At 34.5% G+C, this 11,779-nt stretch overlaps 1 protein-coding gene across 12 annotated transcripts in view; it reads left to right on the forward strand.

The window, feature by feature from the left end:
- Positions 1 to 11,055, forward strand: part of MON2 (MON2 regulator of endosome-to-Golgi trafficking) — a 133,651-nt gene extending 122,596 nt beyond the window's left edge. For all 12 annotated transcript variants that reach the window (XM_017019045.2, XM_047428542.1, XM_017019043.2 and 9 more), the window contains one exon: positions 3,165 to 11,055. In XM_017019045.2, coding sequence (XP_016874534.1) covers positions 3,165 to 3,328 — 164 coding nt within the window. In that variant the 3' untranslated portion in view covers positions 3,329 to 11,055. The remainder of the gene's footprint in view (positions 1 to 3,164) is intronic.
- Positions 11,056 to 11,779: the final 724 nt, after the last annotated feature.

Genomic DNA, 11,779 nt, shown 5'->3' on the forward strand with positions numbered 1-11,779 from the left:
TGGAGTAAATACATATTTTTCTTTTGTTAAAATTCACCCATTGGTACTTTGGCCTAGAAAGGGTATTATACTAAATCTTAAGAGGCAGTACACTTGTCTTTATTCAACCCAAAGGGATGGATGGAATTTCTAAGAAAAAGCCTGGGGCAGTGTCCTGAATTTATCCCATTAGAGTTCAGATTTGGGTTTTCTTCAAAAAGTGTCCTGGGCTGGCACAGTGGCTCACACCTGTAATCCCAACACTTTGGGAGCCTGAGGTGGGAGGATTGCTTGAGCCTAGGAGTCTGAGACCATCCTGGACAGTGTAGTCAGACCCCATCTTTAAAAAAAAAAAAAAAAAAAAAGAACCAGAATGTGTATAAAGGGAGAAAAGGAAGCAAAAACTCAGTAACTCTTTTTTACAAAGCCAATAGGTTATATGTATAAGGCAGTGTAGTAATAGATGATCTAACTAAATGAATGTTAAAAAATTGTTGAATGGAGTTTGAATTATGTCTCTGGGTCTATGAAGTGAAAATTTAAATTGAATGTAAACATATAAGATGATATAACATTTTAGAAAGCTGTGGTAAGCTTTATTAAGAAAAAGAATGACTTCATTATTTGTTTTGGGGCTTTTTAGTGAGAGAAGATGCATTTGTTAGACTTATTTTTGTTTGGGGAGATTTTTTGGTTTTTGTCTTTTTTGAGACAGGCTCTTGCTCTGTCGCCCAGGCTAGTGTGCAGTGGTGTGATCTGTGCTTACTGCGGCGTTGACCTCCTGGGCTCAAGCGATCCTCCCGTCTTAGCCTCCCAAGTAGCTGGGACTGCAGATACGTGCCACCACACTCTGCTAATTGTTTTGTATTTTCAGTAGAGATAGGGTCTTGCCATGTTGGCCAGGCTGGTCTGATACTTCTGAGCTCAAGCAGTCTGCCCACCTTGGCCTCCGAAAGTGCTGGGATTGCAGGCATGAACAACCGCCCCCCAGCCAAGATTTTGTTTTCATCATTTTACTTGATCTTTATTTAAAATTTTAAATAGGTAGTATACATATACATGGTCCAAAAATCCAAAACTGTAAAATGATATACAGGGGAAAGTTTTAATATGATCTTTTCCTTATTCTCTATCTGCCCAGTTCTTACTTTACCACAGACAACCATTTTTATTAGTTTGTGGATCCCTCCAGAAGTTTATTATCTAAATACAAAGTACATATTCTAATACTCCCCCATCCCGGTTTTGTACACAAATGAATATTTGTACACAATGAATTTTGTACACAAATGAATATTTAGACAGAGTCTTGTTCTGTTGCCCAGGCTGGAGTGCAGTGGTGCTATCTCAGCTCACTGAAACCTCCGCCTCCTAGGTTTAAACGATTCTCCAGCCTCAGCCTCCCAAGTAGCTGGGACCACCACGTCTGGCTAATTTTTGTATTTTTAGTAGAGATGGGGTTTCACCATGTTGGCCAGGCCTGACCTCAGGTGATCCACCCGCCTTGGCCTCCCAAAGTGCTGGAATTACAGGCGTGAGCCACCACGCCAGCCTAAAACATATTTTAATTTAAGAAATTTGAGTTGCTTCCTTTGAGTTTAAGATGTCATCATAACATACTTTTGTGTTTTACCGTAATAAACTGAGGGTTAATTTGGTCAATTGACTCTCCATCTGGGACAACCTAGACAGGTTTCAATCTATCTAATCTTTTGTTAAATGATTAGTGTAAAGTTTCACAGGAGACAACTGAAGCAGAATTTTTAAAACTTCTTAGACAGTGGCTTTTTGACTTTTGTATTCTGTTAAGCAGCAAAATTCTTTTTACAAATGAAATGTGATGTGAATTCCCAACATATTAAAACAGAGAAAAGCAGAACAGCTCCAGCCTGACTCCTCACCCTCAGCAATACCCATCAGCTCTATTCCCCATTTCTTCTTATCACACCCACCCTGAGGAAGCCCCTGTTTGGGGAAAAAGGTTAAATTAACAGTATAGCATTTTTCCAAGATATGTACTAAGGCATGAACATTGATGATGTTTGATGTCAGTAGGTATTGGATGGAAAAAAAATCCATAATTAAGGGAACACTGGGTTAAAGTTAAATTTGTTCTTTTACTACAAGCCCTTAATAAATTGATATGAAGAATTAGTCTCCAAAAGGTGAGAGATATGAAACATCTGCCAAACTACTTTATCATGAGCTTTTTCCTAAGAAGTAAATTGAGGAACACTAGTTTGAGAAACACATTTCTTTATTTTACAGTGGAAGAAGTAAGATAAAGAGCAATTAAATGACTTGACCAGGGACACCCATCATTGCCTTATTTCAGAAAGAATTTTAGGCAATTGACACCCAGTAAATTGTAGTGAAAAACAGAATCAAAGCTCTCTACACATAGTATTTATTTTTCTTTAATACTATAATGCCTCTTAGATTTGAGACTTGTTTCACAAAATTTTAAAAATACCTAAAAGTCTAAAAAAAATCTTGCATATTGGGTGCCCAACATTATGCACAATACTTATAGGAAAATATAACTAATTGGGATATAACACTTTTGTCCTTTCAGTAGCAATAGCATTTAGCTGTACTATTTGTTCATGATAGTGGTGAAGAAGCCAGACATGGTTCCTCCCCACTCAAGTCTACATCTAATGATATACATTAAAGATTAGCAAACAGTACAAGACAAGAATGGATCTGTTTGTGACAGTTTGTAATTAAAAGGAATATCAAGGATATTACTGGGAAAATCATTAAACATATTTTGTATTTCAAAAGATTTCTACTTTTAGCAGACAACTGAAAAAGTTATTTTCTAATTCTTGAAATGTACACTACATCCTCTCGCAATTATATTAAAAATGACAAAGGTTTGGATTGTTCTGAATTGCTTTGTTAGCTTTCAGAGCCTTCACAAATTGAAATACCATTTAAAATGTACTTTATCAAATTTATTGTTACTGATGACTGCACACTGAGCATATATTTTTTCCCATACCTTATTAAATATAGCAGGAAATCTTTGAAAAATTAAAAAGATAAAAAGATACAAGCTTGTAGAATCTTCATGTTTCAGAGTTTTTTCTTTACATGCAGTTTAAAGGATTGTGTTCATGTTAATTGAATAATCTCTATTTAATTCCACCCTTTTGAGGTTTTATACTTTTGCATTACAGTTGATGGAAATACCTGGGCACAAGTAATTGCCTTATACCCAACTTTAGTAGAATGCATCACCTGTTCTTCTTCAGAAGTCTGTTCTGCACTTAAAGAGGCACTAGTTCCTTTTAAGGATTTCATGCAGCCACCAGCATCCAGAGTTCAAAATGGAGAATCTTGACCGGCTACAATATATTTGAAAGCAGGAAGATAGTCTAAAAAATGTTTGCTCCTAATTGAGTCTTCTGTGAGAAGGACATTTCTTACTGCAGATAATTCTTGGCAGCTGTTGTTGGCCTCCTTTAAATTCTACTTACCTGAGTTCAGTAATTCATATTACAGGCTTGCACATCAACAAAGGCTCCTGAATGAACAGCAGTGTAAGGCTTTAATAAATTAAACTGATGGGAGGGATAATTAACACTACAGTATACATGCTACCATATCTCCAGTTGGTGATTTAAAGTGAGCTTATGTACAGTTTGTGGTGTATGTGTTAATGATGTACTTTTTAAAAAGAAAGAAGAGATATTTCAATTCAGTCAGATTTATTAGTCTGGTGTTTTTGCACCCTTTTTCAAGTACAAAATCGTACTAGAATTTTATGCAAGATGGTACTGTAACATTCCATATTATCTATAACCAGCCTTTGTTAACAAAGGGAACTGATATACTTGTGTGTATAATAAATGGTACAGTTCTGTATAAAATAGTGCATTTATTTAAATTTTAAAAGTATTGATAATGTTAAATGCTTAAAGCTCTATTTATTATTAATACAAAATTGTTTGCTTACATTTTTACTTATAATTTGCCTTCATATGTGGCGGATAAGCTCACCATATGATCATGCAGTTAGCTTCATGCTTATTTTAAATGTATTATTAGTGACCATTAAACATCTGACCAGTAAGGTCATGTGAACACAGCAGCAAATAGTTTATGATTTGCTGATTTTGGAGCTTTGAAATATAGGTTCTTAATACATTGATACATATTGTAGCACTATGACTTCATCATACCTCATTTCTTTAAACAGCTCTCCAAGCTTTCACTGAAGTCTGTCTGTTTTTTATATTGGCTGTCTGGATTTTAAAGACTTTTCATATTTTATATTTCTACTGATTTTGTTTCCCCTAACAACATTTGTCACTGTCTTTGAATTATGACCCAGGCAAGATGATTTCAGATTTTCTAAAATCTTGCCTGTGAGGTTTTGTTCATATCAGTGCTTCATTTTGTAATGTCTTCTCAAGAAAAATACCTATGTTAACTCACAAGTATAAAATATGTGTGTATTATAAAACAATGAAAAGTGTATTTTTGGAGATAGTCAAGCATTTAGAAGTGCAGTGAACTTGCTGTCACGGAGTAAAATGCTAATTATGTTTCACTTTCCTAGCCTAGTGAAAAAGAAAAGTGCTCTTGAGTACAATACCTTAATTATTTCTTAAAATACTGACTTTGACCTAGCTCACTGTATTTTTTATTTAATGGATTATGGATTACAGTATTTTTCTTCTGAGTTAAATTTTCATAATTTATGTGAAGACACAAAGATGTTTAAAACAATGATTATTCATAAGAAATCATGATGGTCTCAGTATTATTTTAGTGTATTGGAAGGTCTTTGATCTTAATAGAATTTATAAATTTCAGCTTCTCCAGAATAATCATAAAACTGCAAAAAGATATTATAATTGAGTCATGATTGAGATACAGTTTTGAGGCTATTATAATTGTATAATTATTTAATTTGCATTATCTGTAAAATGTAGTAAGGTCTTTGAGGGGATATTTTTTATTTACATGAATTACTGAATTTCTATTTTATTATTTCACCTAAAATTAAGGTAAAATATGGCATTTCATAAGTTCTGCTTTCAGCATTTTCCTTAAAGTTGTAAAAAATCAAGCTATGTACTTATTTTCTATATTTGGGTGTGTTAAATTGAGGATTAGAAAAATCCACATAATCACTGATAAAGCATTGAAACAGAATAACCCAAGGGTAGTGTACCGATTCAGTAACATGTTAAAAATATTGCTATGCATTTATTCAAAGGAAAATGGTCTGTTCTTGAGAAATAAAAGATCAGTTGCAATTAGGATAATTAAATAGTTAAATATGAGTCAAGTGTATGCAATATACATTTATATGAACCAAAGCTTGCTTTATCAGGACCATGCCCTACAGTTCAAAACATAAACATAGTGAATGTGTTAATATCATATAATAAGGTAATAAATGCCAGTCTTAGTGTGAAGCAAGTGGGTGGCCCCCTTGGTAGTATAATTGGACAGGATTTTCCTCCAGAATATTTCCTGTCACCCTCCAAGAGTCACTACAGTAATTGATTGCTGGCATGGAACACATTGCCCTTGTCTTGTTAGTATGAATTGGGTTCTCCAGTGACTAGAAGAACTGGGGTGTGTGAAAGTATTCGATGCCAGGAGATTCAAAAAGGAAGCTCTCAAAGATAAGATCATTTTATGGCACAATTGAGTCTATAACCAGCCCTTTAAGCAGTAGTAAAAATGTCCTTTGTCATACTTACTAGAAATACTATGAGTTTTTTTTTTTTTTTTCATTTGAGACGGAGTCTCGCTCTGTCACCCAGGCTGGAATGCAGTGGCACGATCTTGGCTCACTGCAACCTCTGCTTCCCGGGTTCAAGCAGTTTCCTGCTTCAGACTTCCAAGTAGCTGGGATTACAGACATGCCACCATGCCAGGCTAATTTTTTTAATATTTTTAGTAGAGATGGGGTTTCACCATTTTGGCCATTCTAGTCTTGAACTCCTGACCTCAGGTGATCTGCCCGCCTTGGCCTCCCAAAGTGCTGACATTACAGGCCTGAGCCACTGCGCCCAGCCAATACCATGAGTTTTAAGCCTCACATCGTCACTTGCTGTCACTGCCAGTGCCTGTTTTATTCATATTGCTGGACAACAGACATATGCCACCAATTGTATGATTAATAAAGTCTTTTTCTGGCCATTTTGTCCATTATAAAGGAAATAAACTAATTGTTAACTTGCATAGATTACTTCTTAGTTTCCTATGCTACCACCACTGCCAAGGGAGAAAAAAATACATCATTTTGTAATGTCTTTAGTATTTCTTTATAACTAGTGTTAAGGTTTTGTTAATTTTATTGTATACATTTGTAACATTTATTAGGAGCCTTTTAGGTTCCAAAACAAACAAAAGGCATAAAAAAGTCTAGCTTAGAACCACTTTTCACTTGCTTTCATTTTTAATTTTATTCACTTAACAGCTAACATCTTTCTTGTTTCTTGTTTTTTCCATTATATGGTTATCGATTCAACTCTTGCTATATTCCTTAAATTTGTATGTATCATCAGAAGAAAGAGATGAACAATTTAGTGTAGATATTTTATTCTGGAGAATAATATTCAATTAAATTATTTCTACAGCAGGCCAGTAACAACTAGATTATTTGTCCTTTCTCAGTATAATTTTAAAGAGCATTTTGTTTTATTGTCACAATTTGGTACCACTAGTCCCAGGTAACCATTGGGCCAAAGGATCAGTTGAGAAACAGTTAAGGATGAATTAGCATAAGTTATGGAACAGTGTTAGAAAACAACTCAAAAGTATATTCTTTATTAATGAGGTGGTCATTATTACATTTGTGTCAATGAAGGGCAGTGTAGTTATTTTAAAATGACTAATATTTTCTCCCCAAATACAGAATAATTCAGATGGGCAACCAAGTTTTCAAGAGACTGCTGTAGGTGAAGTCTGTCTAGCCAAGGCAGAACACTTACAGGAGTCCCTAACTGTGCCACCCTTGGAATGGGTTAGTGTACAGGCTCAGAATATTGTGGATTACAGTTTTTCAGAGAAAACTACCACAGATGTAGACAAAAATGATCTCTGAAAGCATTGCCAGCAGCCAGGTATGTTCCTTAGATTTCCACTTAGGTTTGGCATTTTGGCAGATAAGCTAATCTTGTATAAAGCATCACATTTTACTATGCTTAGTGTTCCTGGGTTGTATTTATCTACATTATTAGAGGGAATTTTTATTTTAAAAAAATTGTCATTCATGAGAAGAATGGGAGTTCATGCCACATAGTATTTTACCAATTTATATAAAGTGGGAAAAGTCTTTAATACTTCATGATCACTTGAATTAAAGTTTTTGTATCTCTGGAAAGTAGAATAGTGCTTTCATTTGAATGAAAAGTGTTTATAGATTCAGAAAGAGAGATGATATCTTTGTATCTTGATTTATATACAGACCATTTCAGAGGAAGTTAAATGTCTTACAAATCCAATACTTTCTAATGCTCTAACAGTGTTGGCTATTTAAAAGAACATGTGGCAAGTTCTATATGAATATTCTTGGTCATCTCGACTAATTCTGAGGCAATGATGGACAGAGATGCTACTTCTTATTTAACTCTAGGCATGTTGACTTTTCAAAGCGGTTTCCTTATTTCTAAACAGAGATGATGATCAATGAGTTACTAATTCTTTAGAGGAAAAAATGCATAATTTGAGTGTGGAGTTGATTTTAATGACAGGGTAATTCAAGTTGTTTGATAAATTTATTACTATATTGTAAGAGAGATCTTTGACCATTTTTCTTCCTTTTTCTTGGACATCACTTTCTTCCCTCCCCTTCTCTCTTTTATGTTTTTATCCTTGTTAAATTTTATGTTTACGTTACCATCTTTCTTATACTTTCCCCTGATTTTTCTCTTTTAATTCCTCTTTCATTCTCTGCCTCTTCTCTTTCAGCTCTTTCTCTAATTGTGCCTATTCCTTGTTCATAAGAAGTGGAGCTGTTAGTGGTAGAACCACTGCTCATGGTTCTACCACTACAAAGTGGAAAGTAGAAATACTTTGCACTTTGGCCACTGTTGCGTTTTTGCCAAGGTAAAGTTCCCCTGCCATTTTGAAATAGCTGAACAAGTTAAAGTAATATGTTCCAAAAACTGGAAGTGCCATAAAAAACTAAAAATAAAAAAAAATTGTGACTATAACTCCTACTGTCTTTATGAATACACGGGATTCAGCAGCCAAGATGCTCACAAAATGGGATTGCTATAAATATGATGGATTCAGCACCTAAATTTGGAATAATCATGTCTTTTCTGTTATGTGGGTAGAGAGATTATATATCTTTTCTCAAAGTAAAGTATTTAAAACCTGTTTAAATGAGGGTTTTGGCTGGCGTGGTGGCCCACACCTGTAATCCCAGCACTTTGGGAAGCCAAGGTGGGAGTATCACTTGAGGCCAGGAGTTTGAGACTAGCCTAGACAACATAGCAAGATCCTATCTCTAGTTCAAAAAAATATTTTTAATTAGGGTTTTGGTTTTTTATGATTTTGGGGGGTGGGGGAGATATTTGTTTTTTTGAGGCAGACGTTTAAACTTTTAGATTTATCCCATCTTAATATTGATTTATATTGACACTGCCTACTTACAAGAATAATTTGAGGCAGCATATTGCCCATGTATTTCAACTATTTTCATTTTTCTGTTGCAAAGCAGTCTTTGATGGAAGACCCGGAATCTTATAGTTCTCATATCTGAGTCTTTCTGGAGTGTATTTGGTGTCTGTGTGATTGGTTCACCCAGAGGTCACCCAGAGGTCAATTGAAACCTTCCTAATTGTACTATGGTATTGATTCTATCCCCTCAAGTATGAAAAAATTAAATTTTCAGACCATTTTCAGTTGCTGCGAATGTAGTTACACTAAGTTTTATTTTAAACTAAAATTCAATAAACAGTGCAGCCAGGGAAGATCTGCTAAACCATGCCGTTATTTGGAAAATCATTGCAATATATTAACAACTGCTTCCTTCTATGATGTTTACTAGATGGAGAAAAATACTCCATACCTATATTGCAATTTTATTTTTATCTAGAAAAAGAAAATATTAGGCTTCAGACCCAACTGTGCAAATTTCATTTGCTTTCCATCTCTTACTACTACCTCTGTGTCATAATTTAACACGTAACATACAACTCCTGTCTCTTAAGGCAGCTACCATATGGTGTTTATGTCAGACTGGATATATTTATCTAATTTTGTGAAATTATTTTTTAGTTCCCAACACAATTCTTGAAAGTAATACCACTGTTGTTACTCTTTCTCCTTACAATTTTTATGTTGTTGAGATGTATCAGTTATGTATTATAATCATGAAATTGTATTGGCCTCAAACCCAAATTTTCTTTGTAGTCTAGGATAGATTTTTCATGAAAGCTATATAGTTATAACTGTGATTGTACAGATTGTTTATTTGTTTTACAGCTAACATTAAGCATGATTCCAGGTTTTTAATTATGTTCCAGCAACACTAGTGTTTCTTTATAACTTAAAATCATAACCACTTTGATAATTTACCTTTGGATCTGACCAGTGATTCATTTTTTTCTTGAATATACTTTGTGTTTGCTTTCTCATCCCCGTTAAGTCTGAAACATTATTGACACCCCACATCACTTACTCTGTTTAAAGACTTTACGAGTAGTGAGTCACATGTTTAGGATGATCACTTTGGGAAAAAAAAAATTATAGAGTAAAGGGGAAATGTTCTTGAGAGCTTTATTAAAACCATTAATATATAAAATGAAAAAATAATAAACAGAAGACACGAAGTGTCTCTCAATAGTTTAGAAAGAAAGATTTGGAACTTTAAGTAAAAATGCTAGGTCAAGTAAAAATCCTGATGTAGATTAGATTATCTTAATCTTATGAGCATTTTTTTTTAATTTGGTGAAGCTGTTTTGAAACTGCCTGTCCATATCAATGCCAGACTATCTCTCTACCTCTCAAAGAAAATAATTTGCATTAAAATTCCTTTTTTTGTTATGTAATGAAAGTATAAAACAAGAATTTGTACGTTACTCAGTGTGTACTGCAGTCAGATATAGTTAAAATAATTTTTCTGATGCGTAATTTTAACCACCATTTCTGGAGTACCTAGTATGTGCAGGCCAAGGCTTTGCCTATATTATTCCCTTTAATCCTCAAAGTAGCCTTGCAAAGAAGTTATTTTCATTTTACAGAAGAGTCAAGGATTAGGGGGTTGAAGTGAGCTGCCTAGAGTCACATACCTAAAGTCCAGGTGGATCACTATGTCTTGCTTTTTCAAAAGCAGTTCTTTCTACTACAGTACAATAGTTTCATGTTTTACAGTCCATTAAAATCCAAGACTTATAAAATAAACTAAAAATACTCTTGAGGCAATTACTATTTCTATGATGGGCACTGGGACAAATATACTTGAACATAACAAAGAACTAAAAATACTGTGAAAAAAAGATTTGTCTTAACGATGACCTTGAAAGTTGCATTGGGTTTTTATTATTGGTCCAGGTTTAAAACATTTTATCTATTTAAAACATATGTTGTGTGTTTTAAGAAGTTATGTTATAAATAACAGCATTGTGGTTAAGAGCCCAGAGTCTGGGGCCAGGCTTCTTAGATGCAAATCCCAACTCTGTTATTTTACTAAATGTGTGACCTTGGGCAAGTTAATTAACCTGTTTTGGTGTCCTCCTCTGTGAAATGGAGTTAATCGTGGTATTTAACAGAATTCAAAATGTAGTGTGTTCTAAAGCGCTGTGCCTGGAGCATCATCACCACTAGGTGGTTAGGGAAGTAAAACACATTTGGCACACATCATTCAAGAATGGCCAGAAAATCCATGTCTTCCCACAATAGGGACCAATTTTTTGCCTTTCACCAGACAACCACTGAATGTTAAGAATCTACTGTGTGCTAATAACTGTGTCCTTGCTGTATGACAGAAGCTATTTGGAGCGCTCTCAAGTGCTTATTACAGCTAGTCAAGGAAACCGCATATATAAAATAATACTGGATACAAGACTATACAATTAAATACTGGTGTATCACTAACAACTGTTTAGACCCTGTTTTTGCGTTAAGCATTGGGTTAGTCTCTGTCCTCATGGAGTTTTCAGTTTTATAGGGAATACAGACCTTTTAACAAGTATGTAAAGTACAGTAAAAGACAAGTACAGATTAAAATGAAATCATAAAATAGGAACCTTAGCCTAGTCTTCTGTGGTTCAGGTTAATAGTGCTGTTAGTAGTCAGAAGGAAGTTTTTTAAAGAAATGAAAAAGCTCAGTGGTTAAGATAGAAATTAAAGTTAGTCTTGATGGCTACCTAGATTTTGGATGAGTTCAAAGGATATACGGAGGGATTTCAGGCAAGATAATGTGAGCAAGGCATATCTGTGAAATAGAAAACAGTGCATTTTGGTGTATTGTGTGAAACAAGGTTGGTTGTGAAGGATTGGGTCCCTTCATAAAATTCCTTGAAAGCCAAGGAGAGTAGTTTAGATTTGAGATGGCAGGGTCTGGAGTGATTTAAGAATAAATTATAAAACCAAGGAAGATAAACTTGCAATCATAAGCAGGATAGGATATATACAGTATGGAAAGCTAAGCTAGAAAGCTGTTGCAATTTTCTTGCTATGAGGTGATGATAAAGAATTGATTAACGGTGGTCATATTCAGAAAGGATACTTAAGATTCCTGATATGCAGGGAGGGGGGAGAAAAAGTTGATGGTAACAGTACATTATATGTGGATGATGAGTATATTGGTGTTAGCACT

The sequence above is a fragment of the Homo sapiens genome, chromosome 12 (assembly GCF_000001405.40).
Source record: "Homo sapiens chromosome 12, GRCh38.p14 Primary Assembly".
NCBI classification, from domain to species: Eukaryota; Metazoa; Chordata; class Mammalia; order Primates; family Hominidae; genus Homo; species Homo sapiens.